Source organism: Homo sapiens, chromosome 8 (genome assembly GCF_000001405.40).
Source record: "Homo sapiens chromosome 8, GRCh38.p14 Primary Assembly".
Classification (NCBI taxonomy): Eukaryota; Metazoa; Chordata; class Mammalia; order Primates; family Hominidae; genus Homo; species Homo sapiens.
In genome coordinates this window covers 125,622,340-125,645,867 of record NC_000008.11, presented here as the reverse complement: position 1 = coordinate 125,645,867, position 23,528 = coordinate 125,622,340, and the positions used below count along the sequence as shown (strand labels likewise).

At 44.7% G+C, this 23,528-nt stretch overlaps 1 long non-coding RNA gene across 1 annotated transcript in view, besides 2 other annotated features; it reads right to left on the bottom strand.

Annotated features, from left to right (window-relative positions):
- Positions 1 to 23,528, bottom strand: part of LINC02964 (long intergenic non-protein coding RNA 2964) — a 160,228-nt gene that overhangs the window by 34,267 nt on the left and 102,433 nt on the right. Inside the window, exon 5 of the long non-coding RNA XR_001746072.2 lies at positions 22,294 to 23,044. This is a non-coding gene — a long non-coding RNA (long intergenic non-protein coding RNA 2964). The remainder of the gene's footprint in view (positions 1 to 22,293; positions 23,045 to 23,528) is intronic.
- Positions 1,332 to 1,521: an enhancer, noted in NCBI's record as "active region_27927". NCBI's record gives its function as "activates an Ori minimal core promoter by ATAC-STARR-seq in GM12878 lymphoblastoid cells {active_cell/tissue: GM12878}" and the evidence as "EXISTENCE:reporter gene assay evidence [ECO:0000049][PMID:35858748]".
- Positions 9,000 to 9,109: an enhancer, noted in NCBI's record as "active region_27926". NCBI's record gives its function as "activates an Ori minimal core promoter by ATAC-STARR-seq in GM12878 lymphoblastoid cells {active_cell/tissue: GM12878}" and the evidence as "EXISTENCE:reporter gene assay evidence [ECO:0000049][PMID:35858748]".

The window sequence follows — 23,528 nt, the reverse complement described above, 5'->3', positions numbered from 1 at the left end:
TAAACCTTAACATAAACTCCTAGGGATTTAAGAAGCAATTAATTGGACAAGAGAATCAGCACCACTCTAAGACAAGAAATAAGTAGTTATTTTAGGCCGGGCACAGTGGCTCACGCCTGTAATCCCAGCACTTGGGAGGCTGAGGTGGGAGGATCACCGGAGGTCGGGAGTTCAAGAGCAGCCTGGGCAACATGGTGAAACCCTGTCTCTACTAAAAATACAAAAATTAGCCAGGTGTGGTGGCACATGCTATAATCCCAGCTACTCGGGAGGCTGAGGCAGGAGAATCGCTTGAACCCAGGAGGCAGAGGTTGAGCCAAGATCCACTGCACTCCAGCCTGGGCGACAGAGCAAGACTCTGTCTCAAAAAAAAAAAAAAAAAAAAAAAAAAAAAAAAAAGTCGTTATTTTAAATAGGAGCAAAATTCTTTTAGAGTATGGATACTTCTTGAATTAACCTTAGATACTTTAAAGAGTAAATATAACATAACAGTTAAGATCTCTGGCCCTGGAGTCAGAAGGATCTGGGTTTTAATCCCAGCTTTACAACTAATTGAGCCATACTGGGCATGTTCCTAGACCTCCCTAAGCCTTAGTGTCCTCATCTGTGAGGGTAACTGAGATAAAGCCTTAGCATGGTGCCTGGCACACAGTCACACTCAATGCATCTTAGTTGTAATTATGAAGTACATTGGAGGTGTCAATTAATCCAGGCAATAACATGAAAAGAAAATGTTAGCTATCCATATTTATATCCCACAAAGAGGAATATGCTCAAGATCTATTAAGCGCCCAATTAATGTTTGCTGAGTGAATAAATGAGAGAGAAGAGGAGGAGGAGGAAGGAAGGTGGGGGAGGAGGAGAAGGGAAGGAGGAAGAAGAAGAAGAAAGAAAGATGAAAGGGAGAGTGAGGAGAAGGGGTACTGAACTAGGAGTCAGGAGGGATACAGCTTCAAATATGCCATCACTAACTTTGTGACTTGAAGTAAGTTCCTTTCTTGGTCTCAATTTGCTCCTTTTAAAGATGAAAAGTGACTGGATGATGCCTCAGGTTCTTCCTTCATGATACCCTCTTGGGGCTCCAGCAAAGACCAGAGTTCCCACTGCTGATCATTTTTGCAGTGTTCCCTTAGATGCTGCAGGTGGTGCTGCTGAGTTAGGAAGAAAACCTGTTTTTCTGCAACTTAGTTCTTAGCTGCCAAGTATTAATAGCAGACCAGAATTAGGGAAATCACTTACTTGTTGCTGAAAATGCCTGGGGCGGAAAATGAGTCACTCTACTTCCTCTCTTGCCTACCTGGCCTCTCCCGTTGCCATGAAAGTGCCGCGGGTGTGGAGTGGCAGCTAGCCCTGATTCTAGTTCCATTCCTGTTTCCGGCTGGTGACCTTGGGCAAAGATATGTGCCCTCTTGGGACCTCTATTGTAGTCTGCAAAATGACGATAATAATTCTGGCACCCCAGGAGTGTTGAGAAGATTAATTAAATAATGTGTGTCAGTTGAAGATCACAGCGCCTGGCACCTAGTAGGTATTCAAGAAGTGTTGGTTTCCTTCCTTCTCTGCCTTTCAGTCACTGTGGATTGTGGTTAGCACTTCAGAAGAAATGAACAGAGCACAGTGACAGACAGATGAGGAGGTGGGCTTCCCAAGAAGGATGCACTGAGGAGGGGACAGGCCCTCTGAGGCTAGAAGGATGTGGAGGAGGAACAGCATCTCAAGCGAAGGGTCAGCAAGTACAAAGGCACAGTCCATCTCACCCAGCTCCCCTGGCCCCTGCCATTACAAACCCATCTGCAATCCCTGGCTGGCTCTGACCTCTGAGCCCCAGGGTCTACCTTGTTCATACCTCTACAACAACAGTCATTCGCTCCTATTGTACATTTTGCAAACATGCATGTCCCTTCGAGGACCAGGAATGCATTTTATTCATATCTATCTCCCCAGAACCTGGTGCAACAAAAGCCTTAATGAATAAATGAGCCAATGACTGCATCATACTGGGACCCACTCAGTCTCTCATTAGCTGTCTTTACGTAAATGCATCCTGACCTTTTGGCTGCCTCCCATCTTGGCATACTCAGCACCTAGTACACAGTAAGTGCTCAACAAATGCCTGCTACTGAACTTCAGTTTGATTGTCATGTATCGAGCACCCACTGTGTGGCAGGAACTCTACTAATCACCAGAGATGCAAAGATGTATCAGGGGTAAGCCAGGGTGTGAAGGACCCACGTTTTAGAAAAATAAAAGAACCAGGAGCACATATGCAGCAATTGACATGTTCATTTCTCAAGTGCTTTATATGCACTCTTCTACTTAATCCTCACAAAAACCTGTGAGGTAGGTACTATGATTAGCGCCACTTCATAGATGGGAAAATTGAGGCTTGGGTGGAGAGACCCACACCGGGTGGCAGAGCCAGGCTGAAAGCCAGGGGTCTGGCACTAAAACCCTCGCCATTTACCACTTTGCCATAAATGTGTGCACACAGAAATAATGTAGACGTGTGCCCGGTGTGGGGGAACTGAGAAATGGAGGTGGCAGTTGGGATCTTCCAGAGGACAGTCCCTGTGAATTGACCTTTCAGGACAAAAAGAATGTTTCCTGGAAGATCACGGTGGCAGTGCAGAATTGCAGCAGAGAGGGAAAGGAATATTCAGGCAGAGGGATGAGGTCCCGCAGCCTGCAGAGATTATGGTAATGAGGATGCAACACACAGCCTGGCCACAGGGTCTGCCTGGAGACACAGGCTCTCCCCTGCCTCAGGAAGATCAAGTGCTGGATCTAGAGCAGGCCAGCTCAGGAGAGGATACACAACAATGGGGACATACCTGGAAACGTTTTGTAGAGATAAGTTTAACAAATAGAAACTTGCCCTTTTTAGTAACCGATCTGTGGGACTTCCCTGCCTTTAGTCTTGGCAATCAAAACACATAAAAGCCTAAAGCACTGATTCAACATTCACTAAACTCCTACTCTGTGCCAGGCACTTACAATTAAATACCCGCTCTGTGCCGTGAGAGTCAGACTTTGAGAGGCAGTGGAACTCATTGAGGTATGAATCTCTCTGGTCTTGAAGCTCAATTCTGTTACTCATTAAATACGTCACTTTGCACAAGTTACTTCACCCCTCTGTGACTCGGTTTCCTCATCTGTAAAATCAGAATATTGATAATAGCTATCTCATAGGATTATTGTATTAAATGAGTTAATGCATATCAAGGGCTTAGAACACGGCCTGGCAGACAGTAAGCACCCAATAAATGCTAGATACTGTCCACGTGTGCTACTATTGGATCTATACTCTTTATGGAACACTTACTAAGGGCCAGGTGTTGGGCTGGAAGTTGAAGGTTTGGAGATGAGTGAGACCACGTCCCCTGAAACTCCAGTAGGTCAGAGTTTAGTAAGCGTGAGGCTTACAAAAGAAGTTATCGCAATTCAATGAAATAAGAGCTGTATTAATGAGAATCACAAAGAAGAGGTAGGGTCTGTTGGGTGATTTATGGATACTGGCCACTCTGTAAAACTGGGTGCATATTTAGTCTGCACCACAAAGCTTTAAGGGAGATGCTGTCATTGTCCTTGTGTTCTATCTGAGTAAACACAAGGTTCCTCAGCAATGCATGCAGCTGGGGTGCAGAATGGAGGCCATGCTGCTAAGAAGGATGCATTCAGCTGTGGGAGCACAAGGAAGGAGGAACTGAGCCTTCCAGTGGATGAGTTGCAGCTGGGGCACACAGAGCAGGTAGTATCTGGGCTGTCTTCCTGGATTCTGAGAGAGAAGGAATTCCAAGTAGGGGAAAGAGCACATGACGCAAAGACCTGGAGTTGGAAATGATACGGTCATTTGCAGAGACAGTCAAAACTTGTCCCAGCTGAAGCAGAGGCGAAGTGTGAGACCTGTGCCTGCACAGAGGCCTTGAATGTGGTGCCGTGGAGCTCAGACTTGTTCCTGGAGAAGACAGGGAATTGCTGCGGTTTCCAATCAGGAGATGCTGAGCAAAAAGAAACAGCTCCCCCTCCACTCTTCTCCACGCACCCCCAGCCCCCAGGAATCTGGGCCAAGGCAGGATCTGCAGGCTTCTTATTAACAAGCCCATCAAGGAGTCTGTCCAGCCTCCCGATGGCGCATAAATAATTTACAGTGACGGGGCCTGTTGATGTGGGATGGCAGCCAGCTGCCCGCTTCTTCAGCCTCACTGCTTCCTCTCGCTCCACTGGCCAACCAGGTCCCGAGGACCTGCGGGAGGCCTCTGTCCTGAGTGACAGAGGCCCGGGAGCACCCAGATGCCCTCCACACCACCGTCCCAGTGGGAGGCAGGGGGTTCACAGTCCCGGAAGACTGCAGAGCCCCTTGGCCCTGGCTCCCTGGGAGGTCACGTTTAACCCCGTGAAGGCCTGAAGGGGCCTTTTGTGTTTTCAGCACATTTCTCAGAAGCAAGGCAGAAAGGTTTGACGTAGCCTAAGGGACAAGGCCAAGGGTGGACACAGACATAAGGGGCGGAGTGGCAAAGGGCTGGTGAGCCTGGCCTCCTGCCTCAGCCTGCAGGGGCTGCAGGCCTGGCCGGCCACTTCCTGGCTGCCTCACCTCGCCAGATCCTGTGTCTCAGTTCCCCTGACCACACAGAGGAGTCCCGAAGGAGACCTCCACAAAGCCCCCGTACCGTCTCTCCCTCTATCGCAGAAATTAAATCCATCTGCCAAATGCAGGAATTAATCAATACAAATGCAGTGAAACCAAAATAATCACCCATTTAAAATTATCCTGTAATCCATACTGAAGTCACATTCAGCTACATTGTGACACCAGCTCTGTTAGATATAAGCCCATACCTAAACCAAGTTGGTGAGATGTGAATTCCAGTGGGTGTGGAAGCTAAAGAAAAGCCTTCCGAATGAGGAGAAAAGCCTTTTGCTCAAACCTCGGCGGGAGAGGGGGTGGTGAAATTGGATAAAAACTACTACAGACCGGGCGTGGTGGCTCATGCCTGTAATCCCAGCACTTTGGGAGGCCGAGGTGGGTGGATCACCTGAGGTCGGGAGCTCGAGACCAGCCTGACCAACATGGAGAAACCCCGTCTCTACTAAAAATACAAAACTAGCCGGGCATGGTGGCACATGCCTGTAATCCCAGCTACTTGGGAGGCTGAGGCAGGAAAATCGCTTGAACCCAGGAGGCGGAGGTTGCAGTGAGCTGAGATCGCGCCATTGCACTCCAGCCTAGGCAACAAGAGTGAAACTCCGGCTCACAAACAAACAAACAAACAAAAAAAAAAAACTACTACAGTTAGGATGACTGAGGAACCTTCTGAAGCTTACCTAGATGTCTGGATTTTATTCAGCTCTTGCTGCAGCTGTGAATTATCTTGTTAAATACACTAACCTATGACACTGTTATAGGAAAGAGGTCCCGATCCAGACCCCAAGAGAGGATTCTTGGATCTCACACAAGAAAGAATTCAGGGCAAGTCCAAAGAGTAAAGTGAAGCAAGTTTATGGGAAAGTAAAGGAACAAAAGAATGGCTACTCCATAGACAGCTGGTTGCCCATTTTTAAGGTTATTTCTTGATGAAATGCTAAAAAAGGGATAGATGATTCACACCTGCCCTTTTTAGACCATATAGGGTAACTTCCTGACATTGCCATGGCATTTGCAAACTGTCACGATGCTGGTGGGAGTGTAGCAATGAGGACGACCAGAGGTCACTCTCGTAGCCATCTTGGTTTTGGTGGGTTTTAGCCGGCTTCTTTACTGCAAACTGTTTTATCAGCAAGGTCTTTATGACCTGTATTTGGTTCCAACCTCCTATCTCAACCTGTGACTTAGAATGCCTTCACCATCTGGGAATGCAGCCCAGTAGGTCTCAGCCTTATTTTACCCAGCTCCTACTCAAAATGGAGTTGCTCTGGTTCACACGCCTCTAACAATACTAAGCAGCGGATACACTCAGTTATATGTACACACTTACACACATACATGCATATACACAGAAAGACACATATACAGTCAGCCCTCATTATCTGTGGCAGTTATGTTCCATGAAGTGGTCATGAACATTGAATTAGAGGATAGTGAATCATTCTTCCTAGAGGAAGTCAATGATTAGGTTCCTGTGAGCCTCTGGTCAGAACATTTTCATCAAGTAATCAAACACAACCTTGTCTTATGTGTGTTTTTGCTTAGACACCTTATTTAATAGATATTGTTGATTCATTAACATTGAGCTCTTAGCCAACAGCACCATAGCTTATGCCTCAATGAAGCTTCTCTAACACATGTATTTTCTTCATAAGACACATCACAGCCTTCTGGCATTTAGGAATAAGAGACAGCACTTCAGCTCTACACTTGGGTGCCATTTAAAACATCAAAATCACCCCAAAAAGCACAAAAGTCCCCCAAACATGATACTAACTAGGCCTCAAAAAAGAGACTTGTTTCCAGTTTGAGCTGAAGAAAAGAAGGCAAAGCATCACCTTGTTCCACCTCTGCTGGGAACACGGGTGTTGAGTCAGTCCATTTTTCTGCTGTTCTGCACAGGTTCATGAATGACTGAGAAAGTGCTGTGAGTATTGATTTGGGGGTTGCGAGCAAATATTAGCAAGTAGGCAAATTCACAAATATAGAATCTGCTAATAAGGAAGATTAACTCTGTGTGTGGGTGTGTTTGTGTGTGTACACATCTATCTCTATATATTTATCTGTGTGTGGATATGTGTGTGTGCACTGTATTTAGAAAATATTTCAAGGTGGTCCCAGGGTCCTGGCCCACCTGCTCCTGCCCGCTCTTCCCGGGGCCGTCTAAGGAGAGGGGCACTGCAGGTGCTCAGCTGGAGGACAGAGCCCAAAGATCACTCTGAGCAGCACTGAAGCCACAGCTCACGCAACAAGCACTTGGCCCAACAGTCCTCTGAGGGCCACGTTCCAAACAGCCAACACCGCCCTCTCCCCAGAAATCGCCCCACACACATCTTGCTGGCTAAGGACAACCGAGGCCTAAAGGCTCACCCTACAGGCTCACCCCGACACCCTCCTCCCTGAAGCCCTGCCTGCCTCCCACACAAAGCACTGACCACTCCTGCCTTAGCACTTCCCCCGTGGGCCTTGTGTGACAACGCCATTCGCTCACCCATCTGCTTCCACACTGACACTGCTAGGCCCGAAAGGCAGAAACCTATTCTATTTTGTATTCCCAGCCCCGGCTCAGCGCACAACGGCCGGGAGCTCTTGAATATTTTGAATCACTGAACGGCAGAACAGGAAGGAGTATTAAAGATCATCCACCAAGGCTACTCAAGGGAGGTCAGTAGACTAAAGGGCAACATCTGCCTCACCCGGGAGCCCTTCCCCAGACTTCCTGATCAGAATTCCTGGAGCGGGGACCCAGTAATCCATATTGTAACAAGTTTTCCAGAACATTCATGTGCCTGCTAAGTTTTAGAAGCTCTCAGTTTATTTTACTCCACTCATCCTCATACTTTTACAGATGTGAATGGTGACTTGGTGAAGGAACCTGTTTCCCCAAAGCCACACAGGTGGCTAAGGCCAGGGGCAGAACCAGAACCCATCTCCTAACCCGAGGTCCCGTATGCTCCGGAGCATCTCACAATGAGGAGGCCAACAGGTGCCCCCACTGGAAACAGCCCTTCCCAGTCTTTCTCCACAAGACAAGCATGGTTTTCATTTCTCTCCTCTCCTCCCCTTTCCTCTCCTCCCTTCCCCTCCCCTCCCCTCCTCTCCCACCCCCTTCTTTCTCCCTCCTCCTCCTCCTCCTTTTTCTCTCCCTCCTTTCTTCTTCTGCCCCCTCATCTTGGACAAATAGCTTCAGCCATCTGAGAGTCCATTTCCTTTGAGGGTCAAATGGGAATCATCTTATCTCCCGTGGCTGGCTCAGTTGAATGCAAAAAGAATATGTGTTGCCTCCAAGCGGATGTGTTCTGTAATGGCTTGAATAGAACAATTTAGAGAAAAGGACTTGCGAAATTAAAACAGTCCACTCGCAGAGCAAGAGTCATTTTCAAACTCTTCCTCCATTAAATGGTCACCCCATCCCTATTCCCATTCCCACCACCAGCCCTCACTGCCCCCACCACCCCCTCCTTCAGCTGTGATAACAGGATTTGTTTTCCTCTGCAGTGGGCTCCGGGTTATGCATGCAAGCAACTAGGTGAATGTTCTGAGGCTGTCAGGGTTTCTCAGAATGAGTCATTTTTTCAAAAATAACAAAACCTCTCGACATCACTTGATTTCGGCATTCTCACAGGCTCTTGTAACCTCTTTTGCAATTGCATTCCAAGCACGCCTGACTTCTTTCTCAGGCCTGATGGTAAGTCCCTCTCCCAGGAGAAGGGCTTTACTAATAGAAACCAAGCCTAAGATCTACAGGTTCTGGTCCACAATGCAGTTAGGTTTCAGGTGATGGAAGGGAAATGACTGGAGGCTAAAAGGGCAGTGGGTGAAAGAGGCATAAAATCAGAGAGACTGGCCTGGCTTCCGACCCACAGAACCCACTGGACTTTGACAACCGCCCTGCCACCTTGCCTTTCATATGCTAATGAGGACCGGCTAATAATCCCAAAAGTGATTTGCTCAACGTATCACAGTTTTACGAAGCACATTTCACTTCCATCACCTCATTGTATGGTGAGAGCATTCAAAGCTCCCAGAAGGTTGAAGAGGTTGAATGTCTCGCCCAAGCCCTTGCACTTGGTGATGATAGTCCTAGGTTATTGACCCACGCCCTTTACCAGTGGTATCTTATTTACTCTTTATTCATCAATGCTGATAGGTGGGTTATCATTCTCCTTTGTCTAGATAAGAAAACGGAAGTTCAGAGAGGTTAAGAAACTTGTTCAAGGTTACACAGCGAGTGGTAGAGCTGGAATCAAAACCCAGGTGTCCGGCCTCAAAGCCTGTGTCTTTTCCAATACACCACATGCAAATACTGATCTCAAAGAACTTTGCACATTACTCCAGTTGCACTGTGTGTAATTAACACTTTATGTACCTGTGTCTTAAAGCAAGGAAAATGGTTTATTTCTCTCTATACCCTCAGCCTACAGCTTATTAACTGACATATACACATGCAACCATTGTTGGATGAAATTAGTGATGGACTTCAACCCTGGCCCTCAGACTACAGACCTCTAGGCCTGGCCTCTGCACACACCGCTGCTCCCACTCTGAAGTCCCTGGAGCCTGTGATACCCAATAAGCCCCCAGATCTCAACCTGACTCCTATACTTACTGGCCTTGGTAAAGACACCTCACCTCTCTAGGTTCCAGATTTTCTTATCCGTGTACATATTGGACAGGACATATTCAGGGGGCCCTCTAGGCTCTCACAGTTGATGGTTCTGGAAGTGTGTTAAGTTTTCTCAAGAGAACGGACCCTAGCACATTTGTTGGTTGAATTCTGTTTGTTGACAAAAAGGGTGGAGCAAAAGTCATTAACAAAGTTCACAACATTGGCCCAATGATACTCTTTGCATTTACTTTTGTCTCTATAAGATCCTTGCACAAAAGGAGAAGTGAAAGATTACAAGTCTTAATTTTGGATGCACAAAACTGTGTGTGAATAAAATATATACATATAGACTCAATGTAATTATTATTTTTGCTCCTCCTTGAATATCCATGCCAGATGTCACTTTCCTACAACTCCCACTGTCTCCCTGTCACCCCCAGCCCCAGGCAGGGTCTGTGACCCTCCACCATGCTTACCTAGGGGCACTCATCATTTCCCCATTGAAACTGCTAGGTCATTTACCTATATCCCAGGAGACTGTCAACCCATGCTTCTTTATTTCCCACCAGACTCTGTGTCTGGTGGTTCTCTATATCTCCAGCACTTCCCAGAATGCAACTCGGAGATGCCATGGAAGAAATAGTTGATGATGACACCAATTCACTAATACCATGCTTTTGCAGAATCCTTTGCTCTTCTTAGGGCACGTTCACATGATAACTCTGCAAAGTGAGTGGTGTTTGTCTCCTCATGCCCATTTTACAGATGAAGGAGTGAAGATAGAATGCTGACCGACTTCTCCAACACTATATAACCATGAAGCAGAAATGCCCACACTCCAATTATAAAACCAATGAGATTTAGTGGAGACCTTAAAGGTCACCTAAAACAAAACTCTTCGAACCTGCTTTTACCAAAAAAAATTTTTTATATATATAAAAAGTTATATGTTTTGTATATTTATATATAATATAAATATATAATATATAAATATATATTACATAATATATATTTTTATAAATTTGTGTGTGTGTGTGTATACATATATATATAGAGAGAGAGAGAGAGAGAGAGAGAAGAGAGAGATATTTTCTTCTCTCCCCGGTGGAATCTTACTCAAAATCACAATTTAAAAGGTGGGGGAAGGACCTGCTCTTGAGAAAGGAAAAATGGAAAAACTAAACATCCATCAGATGAGTCCCTCAACCTACCCTCAGGAGGAAGGGAGAGAGTTCCTGCAGCCCAGCCACCTGCAGCTTCATGACCACCATTGGAGAGCCACTGATTCGAACAGACATTCTAGAACTCTTACGTCGGCATTCTCATCGGCGTTCCTTCAGCTGTCGCATGCCACCTCTCTGCAGTTGCTTTCCTCATTCAAAAACTTTCTTGGCCACCACCGTGTGCTTAATGCTGTCAATCATACCAAATATATTGGGTCTGGGGTCCAATGATCCACTTTGATCCCCATTTCCACTGTTTCCTGGCTAGGGACTTTGGGAAAGTCACTTAATCTCTCCTTAATCCGTGGCTGCTTCATCTGCAAAATGTCCCGAAGGCTTGGATTAAATCAAAATCAGTTGCTGCATGCACATCAACATGCTGCACATGGATCTCAGCACCTGCACATGCTCCCCAAGCACTGACTGCATCCGCTCTTTCAGGGCTTTCCAAAGTGTGGTACATACACCACTGGAAGGACATGAAGTTATCATTCTCCCTTATCTAAATGGGAAAACCAAAGTTCAGAGAGGTTAAGAAACTTATCCAAGGTTACACAGTGAGTGGCAGAGCTGGAATCAAAACCCAAGTGTCCAGCCTCAAAGCCTGTGTCTTTTCCAACACACCACATGCAAATACTGATCTCAAGGCACTTTACACATTACTCCAGTTGCACTGTGTGTAATTAACACTTTATGTATCTGTATCCTTACATTTCTTTAGGATGCACACAGTTTTTTATTTTCATAATCACATATTTATATTTACAGTAACTTGTTGTTACTCACAAGGGAGTTGGGCTTACATTTACAACAGAGAAGTTTCTGTTAAATATAGAGAGGGTGTGGGTGGTCTTGCTCTGTCACTCTGGCTGGAGTGCAGTTGTGTGATCATGGTTCACTGCAGCCTCCACTTCCTGGGGCCAAGTGATCCTCCCACCTCATCCTCCTTGAGTAGCTGGGACCACAGGTGTGCACCACCATGCCTGGCTAATGTTTTAAATTTTTTGTTCAGATGGGGGTCTTCCTATGTTGCCCAGACTGATCTCGAACTCCTGAGCCCAAGCAATCCTCCCACCTCAGCCTCCCAAAGTGCTGGGATTATAGGCATGAGCCACCATGCCAAGCCAAAGATATGTATTTAAGAATGAAAATGTGGGTTGACTTCAATTATCTGGGAAGCAATGTTACAGATGGGAGACAGGTTAGCCAGCATCATGAGAGAGCACCTGAATGACAGAGTTCAGGAAACTCCAAGAATCAGAGAGTTACAGGCACAGAGGAGCACAGTGAGGGGAGGGCGGGTGGGGCGGCAGCCTTGTGTGCAGCTTGTTTTCCACCTCCAGCCTGTTGTCTCTCTGGAGGTGATGACAGGTGCCCAGGCAGCACAAATTATTCTATCAGGTAGCACTGTATAAGTTGGAAGCCACCCAGATCCCCTGCAGGCCTCTAATTAAAAAAAAGAGAGAGAGAGACAAAGAATCAGGAAAGAAGCCTCCAGGAGCAGCTTTTCCTCTCTGCCTCTTGTATCTTCATCTCAATCTGCAAGATGGCAGCTTGCTGGCAGTGCCGGACTCTGCGGGAGCCTCCAGGTTCCAGCTTTGAAGCTGCTGCTATTTTGAACAGGAATAATAATCCTCCAACATGAGTTTTGCCGACCAAGTCATTTCACCAATTGCTTCACTGCCTTTTAAATCCTGTGCCTTATAAAAGAAGAAGGCTGGGCAGCAGCTGTCAGTCCTCCTTTTCAGATGAGAAAACTGAGGCTCACAGTTGCTAGGACCACTTCGCCCATAGGTAGCTGCATCTGGACTGGAATCTGGAGGTCTTAACTCCAAGTCTGGCCCTCCTTCTAAAACCCTTTCCTTCTAGAAACACTCAGTGACCTGAGTGCTGTGTGTGGGGGTTGGGGGGCGGGGGCAGAGGGACGCAGTGCTCCTTGCCTCACAGAGGGCCCTGGTCAGCCAAAGGGCTTCTGGCCGGCATGTGGCCTCACTGCATGACGACATTGCCCGGGGCATCAGAACAGTCAGGCCCAGCCAGGAGCACCCTTGCAAAGTCTTGGCCTGGCGTGCTGGGCTCTGGCCAATACACCAAAGTCTCTTTCCTTCCTTCTGCGGGAGAGTCACCAAGGGCAGTTCCCCCAGGACAACCCCTGCCTTTTCCTTTCTCTTAGTCCTGGAGCCTGCAACCAAGGTGATATGGTTTTGCTGTGTCCCCACCCAAATCTCATCTTGAATTCCCACGTGTTGTGGGAGGGACCTGGTAGAAGGTAATTGAATCATGGGAGCAGGCTTTCCCTCGTTGTTCTTGTGATAGGGAATAAATCTCATGAGATCTGGTGGTTTTAAAAAGAGGCATTTCCCTGTACAAGCTCTCTCTTTCCCTGCAGCCATCCATGTAAGACGTGACTTGCTCTTCCTTGCCTTCTGCCATGATTGTTAGACTTCCCCAGAAATGTAAGTCCAATTAAACCTCTTTCTCTTGTAAATTGCCCAGTCTTGGGTATGTCTTTATGAGCAGCATGAAAACAGACTAATAGACGCTCAGACTAATAAGCTCAGAGGTCTGGAGGCCAGAGTGGAAGGGACCTCATATGATGGTTTAAAGTGATATGAGGCCGGGATTCAGTGCTACCTAGGAAGCTAGTTCAAAATGCACACACCCACCACGCTTTCCTGCAGGTGCATCACAATTCCTAGGTGAGCTGGGCATGTATTTAGAATACTCTCCAGCTAATTCACTCTTGCTTCACTGCAGAACCTAGGGCCACAGAAGTCACTTCATTTTACAGAGAAGAAAACTAAGTCCTACAGAGGAGAAGTTTCTAGTCAGGGCTGTCAGTGCATGTGTGCATGCATGCAACTTAGTTCTTAGTTTAGGACATGACAGTATCAGAGGAAAGGGAGGCTCTGTGACTCTGTGGCCCAGGGATTCTGTCTCAGCCTCAGTTTTCACACCAGGACAATGTGACCTTAAGTCCCTTCCAGTTGATGATCTGCTTCTGTGAGATTTATCTCCAGCCTCAGCCTCCTAGAGGCCAGAGTCCCAGAGGGAAGAGGCAGGGCCCCCAAAGGAACAATTCTTTGGAGGTTTTCTTTTCTGGGGGAAGAGGACAGGGTCTCACTCTATCGTCCAGGCTGGAATGCAGTGGCACCATCATGGCTCACTGAAGCCTCAGCCTCCCTGGTTCAAGCGATCCTCCCACCTCAGCTTCTCCAGTAGCTGGGATCACAGGCATGCACCAGCATGCCCAGATAATCTTTGTATTTTTTTGTAAAGACGGGGTTTCACCATGTTGCCCAGGCTGTTCTCAAACTCCTGGACTCAAGTGATCCTCCTGCCTTGGCCTCCCAAAGTGTTGGGATTACAGGCGTGAGCCACCATGCCTGGCAGTAGAGTTTTTCTTCAACAGAACAAAGAACAAGCTTTCACATGCCAAGCTCAAAGCCCAGCTTAACATTCTTCATCATTAAAATAGGCATAGTGGGCAGGGGAGATGAAAAAGATGTTGAAGGAAGACATGAAGTGGATAACAATGAGTAGCTCCTCAGGACCTTCCTCTGTTCTCCCTTCCTGCTAATTTCCATCATGAGGTTCAGGGAAAGTTAATCCATCCCTATTCAGCTCCAGGAGTGTGGCCTTGGCTAAGTTAATCATTGAGTTCTACCTACTCTCAGACAGTGATTGGTCCACGAGTAGTCATGCCATCTAAACTGGTCCAATCAGAGTGAATTTCAGGATGTTTGCCAGAAACAAAAGAGAAAATTCATCTGTTTTTATCTGGGCTAGGAATGAAGAGACACATAATCAAGGAGCTTCCAGCAGCTGTCTCGCAACCACAGAAGGCAAAGAGAAAGAAATAGGAAAAAAAAAAAAAACAGTTCATCAGAAGCATCTTTATGTGGCTGAACCAAGCGCTGCCTAAAGCACACGCTCTAGACTTTTATTTACATAAGCCAGTGAACTCTCTTCATTATATAAGTTAGTTTGAACTAGGTTTTCTTTAGGTTTTATTTTCAATTGACACATAATTGTAAAAATGTATGGGTGACTGTGATGTTTCAATACTTGTAAACATGTGTAATGACCAAATCAAGGCATTTAACTTATCCATCACTTCAAACATTCATCGTTTCTTTGCGGGGAGAATATTCAAAATCCTCTATTCTAATTATTTTGAAATATGCAATATCATATTGTTACCTATAGTGACCCTCTTATGCAATAGAACACCAGAACTTATTCCTCCTGTCTGTAATTTTGTACCCCCTGACCAATCTCTCCCCATTCCCTTCACCCCTTATCCTCCCCCAGTCTCAGGTAACCACTATTCTACTGTGTACTTCTATGAGATCAGCTTTTTTTTTTTATTCCACAAATGAGTAAAATCATGTGGTATTTGTCTTTCTGTGCCTGTGTTTTTTCACTTAACATAATGTCCTCCAGGTTAATCCATGTTGTCACAAATCACAGGATTTCCTTCTTCTTTATAGCTAAATAGTATTTCATTGTGTATATATACCACTTTTTTTAATCCACTCATCCATTGATAGGCACTTAGGTTGATTCCATATCTAAGTTGAAAATAGTCCTGCAGTAAACATGGGAATGCAAATATCTCTTTGACATACTGATTTCATTTCCTTTGAATAAATGCCTAGTAGTGGGATTGCTGGATCACATGGTAGTTCTATTTTTAATTTTTTGAGGAACCTCCACATTGTATCCCATAATGGCTGTACCAATTTATATTCCCATCTTCAATGGACAAGGGTTCCCTTTTCTCCACATTCATGGCATCATTGGTTATTTTTTTCTTTTTGATAATAATCATTCTAACTGGAGTGAGGTAATATCTCATTGCGGTTTTGATTTGCATTTCCCTAATGATTAGTGATGTTGAGCATTTTTTCATATACCTGTTGGCCATTTGTATGTCTTCTTTTGATAGTGTCTATTCACGTCTTTTGCCCATTTTTTAATCAGATTATTTGATTTTTGTTATTGAGTTGTTTTTCTTATATATTCTGGATATTAACCCCTTGTCAGATGCATAGTAGTTTGCAAATATTTTTCTCAAATTGTGTAGATTGTCTCTTTACTCTGTTGATTATTTCCTTTGTTGTACAGAAGCTTCCCAGTTTGATATAATCCCATTTTCTGTTTTTTGATTTTGTTGCCTGTGTTTTCGGGTTCTTATCCAAAAAAATCTTTGCCCATACCAATGCCATGAAGGGTTTTCTCTATGTTTTCTTCTAGTGGTTTTAGAGTTTTGGATGTTATATTTAAGTCTTTAATTCATTTTGAGTTGATTTTTGTATATGGTGAGAGATGGGGACTGGTTTCATTCTTCTACATGTGAATATCCAGTTTTCCCAGCACCATTTATTGAAGAGACTGTCCTTTCCCCCAGTGTGTACTCTTGGCATCTTTGTAGAAAATCAGTTGGCTATAAGTGAGTGGATTTATTCCTGTGTTGTCTCTTTTGTCCCACTGGTCTGTGCCTATTTTTATGCCAACGTTATGCTGTTCAGATTACTATAGTTTTGCAGTACACATATTTTGAAGTCAGGTAGTGTGATGCCTCTAGCTTTGTTTTTCTTGCTCAAGATTGCTTTAGCTATTCTGAGTCTTCTATAGTTCCATAAAAATTTTAAGATTTCTTTCTATTTCTATGAAGAATGACATCAGTATTTTGATTGAGATTGCATTGAATTGTAGATCGCATTGTGTAGTATGAACATTGTAATAATGTCAATTCTTCCAATCCATGAACATAGAATATCTTTCCATTTATTTATATCCTCTTCAACTTCTTTCATCAATGTTTTATGGTTTTTACTGTAAAGATCTTTCACCTTTTTGGTTAAATTTATTCCTAGGTATTTTTTGTAGCTGTTGTAGATAGGATTGTTGTATTGATTTCTTTGTTAGCTAGTTTGCTATTGGTCTATAGAAACACTACTGATTTTTGCATGTTGATTTTGTATACCACAACTTTATTGAGTTCATCTATTAGTTCTAAGAGATTTCAGTTGAGACTTTGGAATTTTCAACAAGATAATGTTATCTGCAAACAGAGACAATTTGACTTACTGCTTTCCTATCTGGGTGCCCTTTATCTTGTCTAATTGCTCTGGCTAGCACCTTCAATACTAGTTTGAATAAAAATGGTGAAAATGGGTATCCTTGTATTGTTCTAGATTTTAAAGAAAAATCTTTCAACTTTTCCCCATTCAGTATGATGTTTGCTGTGGATTTGTCATACATGGCCTTTATTGTGTTAAGGATATACCTTCTATGCCTAGTTTTTTGAGAGTTTTTATCATAAAGAGATATTGAATTTTATCAAATGCTCCTTCTGTGTCTACCAAAATGATATGGTTTTGTCCTTGATTCTGTTGATAGGATATATCACATTTATTGATTTGCGTATGTTGAACCATCTTTGCATCCCTGAGATGAATCCTATTTGATCATGGTGAATGACCTTTTTAATGTGCTGTTGAATTCAGTTTTGCTAGTGTTTTGTTGAGGATGAACTAAGCTGTGTTACTTTCAACCAACTGATACTGTTGTATCTGATACAGTTGTTCTGACAGTGCCCCTCTGTGAAATACAATATAATTACCTATTAATACCACAAAGCAATTTCCTATTAATGCCACAAAGCAATTTCATATGCAGTGTCTCAGCTGAGATATCAGCCATATAAGTGTTGTTAACCTCATTAAAATCAGTGCAAAATAGGAATGAGACTTTACTTCATCTTCCCTACTGTTCATACCCACCCCCACCTGACTCATTGCCTGCCACATGATAGCAACTTGCTACAAGGGTGTGTTGGTTTTAAAACGTGGTTTTAAAACAAATTTCCATCTTTTGATGGGAGGAGCATCTAACCAGCCTAGGATGCAGGAAACACTTCCTGCAAAGTGACATCAGAGCTGAGTCCTCAGAAAGTATGCAAGTTTGCCAGATACAGATGGGGTGGAAGAGCTTCTTCTGAGCCATTACCCCAATCTCCAGCTCCAGGAGCGTGACCTTGGCTGAGCCAATGGAACTCATCTCATCAAAAGATAGAGTACAATTCTCCTCCTCTTGAATGTCGTCCAGGCTTGGTGACTCCTTTTTAATAAATAAAATGAAGTAGAAGCAACCCTGTCTAATTTCTGGAGCTAGGTTATCTTACTTCTACCTGGTGCTCTCTCAGGCTCCTCCTGGGAACCCAGCTGCCATGTTGTTCAGGGAGCCACATGAAGAGGCTGGGTGAGATGTTCTGCCGACAGTCTCAGCTAAGGTCCTAGCTAACAGCCAGCAGCAACTACTAGGCCTAGGATTAAAAAGCTTTTGCATGACTCCAGCTCCCGCCTTTAAGCTGCCATAGCTGAAAGTGAGTAGAGCAGAGATGAGCAGTTCCCTGCCAAGCTCTGCCCAAATCGTAGACTCGGAAGCAAAACAAAGGTTGTTTTACACAATTAAGTTCTGGGGTCTTTTTTATGCAGCAATGGGTAACCAGAACAAAGAGTTAAACACAAGATAGTTACGAAGCATGTGTGTGTTTTTATCTCATCTGATTTATTCCCTATTACAACTTTGTGATGACATTGGTATTAATAACCCCACTTTATAGACAAGAAAACTGAGATTTAGAGAAGAGGCCAGCCCAAGTTTCCCTCAGATAACAAGTTATAAAGCTAAGAGTGAACATACATCTTCCATTCTTTCAGGAACTCCATCCTTTTGACAATAAGAGCCTCAGGAGGCACTTTCTCACTTACCCTAGGGCTTGCAGGGAGGAGGGAGCAGACGGAGACAATGTGGCCTGAAGGCTACTCCTGCTTTACAGAGAACGAATATTTATCAGGTCACCTCCTCCAACCATCACAAAGGTCACAGTGACTATGCCCATCTTCCCCCATCCTGGCCCGATTTTGTCCACCTGTCAATCCTCATCTCCCATCCTTCTCTCCAGTCAAGCCACATGTCAACCAACCATAAACAACTTAGAGATTCCCCAGATCCACTGCACGCCCTCTCACCTGGCATGTTGTCCATGTCCTTCTGTCTACCTGGAAGGCTGTTCCTCCCCTCTATCTGGCAAGCGTGCACACTTCCTGAGGACTCAGCTCCGATGTCACTTCTGCAGGAAGTGATCCCTGCAATCCTGGGCTGGTTAGGTGCTGCTTCCCTTCTGGTCTCCCAGAGTATGAGTATGCATGTGTACATGTGCATGTGTATGTGTGTGTGTGTGTGTGTGTGTAATGGGGGAGCAAAGCAAGAGGTATTTTCAAGTGAGGACATGAATTCTAGCTCCTAGCTGTGTCATCTCGGGCATTTTACTTGACCTTTCTAAACCTCAATTTCCCATCTGCAAAATGGGAGCAGAAAAGCTTCTGATAGGATCACTGATAAGATTAAATAAAATAATCTATGTAAAATGTTTGGCCCACATATTACTGTTTATTAAACTACCACTCTTTTTTTTTTTTTTTTGAGATGGAGTTTTGCTCTTGTTCCCTAGGCTGGAGTGCAGTGGTACAATCTCGGCTCACTGCAACCTCTGCCTCCCAGGTTCAAGCCATTCTCCTGCCTCAGCCTTCCGAGTAGCTGAGATTACAGGGACATGCCACCACACCCAGCTAATTTTTGTATTTTTAGCAGAGACGGGGTTTCACCATGTTGGCCAGGCTGGTCTCGAACTCCTGACCTCAAGTGATTCGCCCGCCTCAGCCTCCCAAAGTGCCGGGATTACAGGCATGAGCTACTGTGCCCGGCCCTAAACTATCACTTTTACTGTTGTTACTTATGATAAATTTCTTCTTTTTCTTCCCAACAAGACACTGAGCTCCATGAGGACAGGGCCTATTGTCTTTTTCATCAGAGTTCTCACTGCCTGGGTCCTAGCAGGCACTCAATAAATAAGCACTAAAGAAATGAACAGAGCAAAGTGGAACTGGGCTTTATATTCAGATTAAAACATGAACACTAACTGGAGATACCTGATTTCAGTGATCAAGAAGGCTTTGGCCACTGGGATGACTTTGAGGCCTAGAACCGCCAGCATAAGGGCCCAGTTAGCTGAACACCACACCTATTAGTCCCCAAGACCCTCCTCCTCCTAGCTTAATAGATTTCCCATTATCCCACCATAATCTTTTCCCATTATAAGAATATCCAGGGAAACACTTTAATGACCAATAACTTCTATTGATTCCATAGTCTGTGCCCTCTCAGAGGCACAGGCTCTGCTCCCTGGAAAGCCTAGGATGCTCCCCATCTTGACAAAGGAAAATCAGAATGTCCCTAGAGGCAAGGCCAAGGTGGGACCTTGAGTGGAAAGTTTTATTCTGGGATTTCTTGGGAAGCTGGAAGGATGACGAAGAGGAGAAAATCTGAGGGAGCCAAAAGGATTTGTCTTCCTTCTTAGGAGACATCCTTTTCCTAGAGAAAAGGATGATGGGTGGAGAAACAAAGGATAAAAGGAGGGAGGAGGGAAGAATTGAGATTAATCTAAGAAGGCATTTTCAAAGTATTAACTATGTCCACAATGTACAGACTGCTCAAACAGTGGTAAGCTTCCCATCCCTGGAAGTATCCCAGCAGAGGCTGAAAGGTCCTGTATCAAATATTTTGATTAGGGCATAATAGTAGATGCTGAGTCTTCGTGCTATGTTCTCTATAGACAGGGTCTCATTCACTTCTGATGACAATCACATGTGAGATACTCTGTATATTATTCTGGCATACGACTTCCTGCCTGCTTCAATTCTGCAAGGTCTTCACTTTCAGCCTTTTACCCCAATTCCATTTCTGTCTAATGTCTTCCTTGGACAATAACAGCAGCATTACAACTAGTCTCTCTACCTCCAACCCATTATGCTCAGGCCAGCCTCCGAGTGACCTGTGAGAAATGTAAATCCAATCATGTCTCTCACTGCTCTGCTAACACCTTCAATGGCTAACACCTTCAATGCCTCAACATAAACTCCCAGTCTTCACATAATATAGTGAAGTGGTTCCATTAAATCATTAAAGTCCTCAAATGGAAATTGTCCTGCCTACATCACAGAGACTGTGGCCTCTTCTTTCCAGGCCACAGCTCACTGGACCAGGAGAGGACACCTGACTAAAGGGCAGCCAAGCCAATCCTTCCTGGAAAGGGGCCAATGAGGTGTCCCTGTCAAGAGCACATTCCCCAGTAGAGACGAGGGTGACCAGTGAGATACCTCAGATTCATAGCAGGGAGTGTTCGTGACTATCAAATACTCTGTGTGATTTCCTCTTTCCCAGCTCCCTTGCAATTAGGTAGGGCCATGTTGCTACTTCTGGTGAATGGAATGCAAAGATAAGAATTAAAAATATTAAGGACTTGTGTGCTTCCTTTGTCCCTATCTTCTCTTGCCATGGGGAACTTTGAGGACACATGTTTCAGGTGGCACTTTGTGTAATGATGTAAAGCCCTGATGGTTTTAGAGTTTATCTGTTATCACAGCAGAGCTGATTTATCCTAACGCACACTCTTGAGGATTTGAGCTGAGGATATACACAGAGAACTGAATTCAAAAGGGTTTCATGTTAATATCAGACCTTCAGAGTAGGAACCAATGAGTTTTTGCTACTGAGAGGAAGACAAGATAAGTCAGTTACTAGAACTGGGTTTGATTCTCGACAGATTTATATTGTCAAAGTACATTCCAACCTTCATAAGTCTGACTGTTCTGAGGTTTTCATTCACTCTGTGGTGTTGGTTGTGGTGTAGTCCCAGTTCCCCAAGAATCTTTGCCCTAATTCTAGAACCTCCTTTGTTCCCATATGCATCTTCACAACGACCTTATTACTCGAGCTCACCTGGATGCCTCTGTTCTCTGCAATCCAAAGAGGCTGCCAGTGTACCGACCCTTCATGATCCGGCCCCTGCCAACTATTCCAAATCTGCTTCCCTCACATGCTTCCCAAGTGCTCTAGGCCCCAGCCCTGAGCACCAACCACACTTCCCAAACTCGCCCAGCCTTCCAGTATTTGCAGCTCTTGCTTCAGCTAGAATGTTCTGTCCACCACCTACTGCCTTTCTCAAAAGCCTGTTCATCCTTCAAAACTCAGCTTAAAACCACCCCTTTCATGAAGCTCTCACAGTTTTAATTAATCACTTTAGTCTCTTATTAGGTTGGTGCAAAAGCAATTGCGGTTTTTGCCATTAAAATTAAAAGAAATGGCAAAAACCACAATTGCTTTTGCACCAATCTAATAATTTCCACAGCACTTAAACTCTGAGATTTTTTTAACCTTTAAGATGGGGATAAAAATAATTCTTACTTTATAGGATATCTGGGACAGTCAAAGGAAAACATTGTGAGAAAACTTAAAAATGTGACAGACTACGTCTACATGAACTTGTATTGCGACCGTCCTCCTGCCAGAACATATTTTATTCTGGATGGTGTTATGGTTTGCTTTGTATCATCATAATATTATTTTCCTTTCCTTATATCAATTAAGGTTTCTTAGTTGCAAACAGAAACTCTGCCTACCTCAAGCATACACCCTGTTTATAAAAGTGCAAAGAAAATGTGCAGATCATGTATCAGTGAAGAGGTAAATTTGGCCACAAGTAACAGAAACCACTATGGAGTTCTTCAGCAAGGAGCCCAAAGGGAAGTTTGTGCCTGCCTGACGTCACTAAGCAGTGTCAGGCTGGTGCCCGCAATTCTCTTAAGCTTTCCCTCATGCTCATAAGGTATATGCCACAGCTACAACCATCAGGTCCACATTCCAGTAGGAAGAAGGAGAAAGGGGATAGACAGCCCCAGCAGACTTACACTTGCATCTCGCTGGTCAAGTATCATGGCCACTCCTAGCTGCAAGGAAGTCTGGGAAAGCGAGCTTTGAGTCTTCCACGTTCTAGAGCAGAGAAAGCACGGCTTGACGGGAAATGGAATGGGCGCTGAGTGAACCAACCTACAGTAGCTGCCACAAGGAAGCTCTCAGAAAGAAGGAAAGCTGAACAGCCAGATGGCAGGAACAAATGGGCAGCTATCTTCAGAGTGCTGCTAGCTGGATTAATCCGCTCTAGCCATTTTCAGATTAGGGGGTCATCATTTACTTTCCTATAGTCTAATTTTCCAATATGAGTCAAACATTCACCCCTTTGCCAGATGAGTGCTGGGATTTGGACTCGCAAACCTTCCAGTTGGCATGTGAACTGGGAAGGGGAAATCCCAATATGAAATGAAGAAGATGGGCAGATGAAAAACAAGGTAGTCCTTACACCTCCCTTGTAAGGACACGAGCGCCTCTGAGACAGAATCCCTGACATTCTCATCTGTGAATCTGCCTCTGTACCAGCAAAATGATGTGTTCCACATCTTCACTATGACTTGAGTGAGTGAGCGCATTCTTTAGCCTGTAGGCTGAGGTTGTTTCATCTGTTTTGATTTGTTTCATTAGGTTTTCATCCTCATAGAGAGGTTGGGTCTTGAAGCTGGACAGACCAGTGTTGGAATTCCAGCTCTACTTTGCCCCCTCGGTGTGGCTGTGGACAGCATTGTTTCCATGCCTCGATTTTCTTATCTGCAAAAGAGAAGAATTAAACCAATCTCATGAAGTTGCTGTAAGCATGGAACAATAATGTATGTGTAAAGCATGCACCTAGGGCCTGACACAGAGAAGACACTCCATCACCAGGAATCTGTTATTATTTTTATGCGAGAATTTTAAGCAGTAAGAGTGCAACAGGCCGGGCGTGGTGGCTCATGCCTGTAATCCCAGCACTTTGGGAGGCCAAGAAGGATGGATCACGAGGTCCGGAGTTCAAGACCAGCCTGGCCAACATGGTGAAACCCTGTCTCTACTAAAAATACAAAAATTACCTGGGTGCAGTGGCAGGTGCCTGTAATCCCAGCTACTCAGTTGGCTAAGGCAGGAGAATCTCTTGAACCCAGGACAGTGGAGGTTTCAGTGAGCCAAGGTCGTGCCACTGCACTCCAGCCCGGGCAACAGAGTGGGACTCCGTCTCAAAAAAATAATAATAGGCTGAACGCAGTGGCTGACGCCT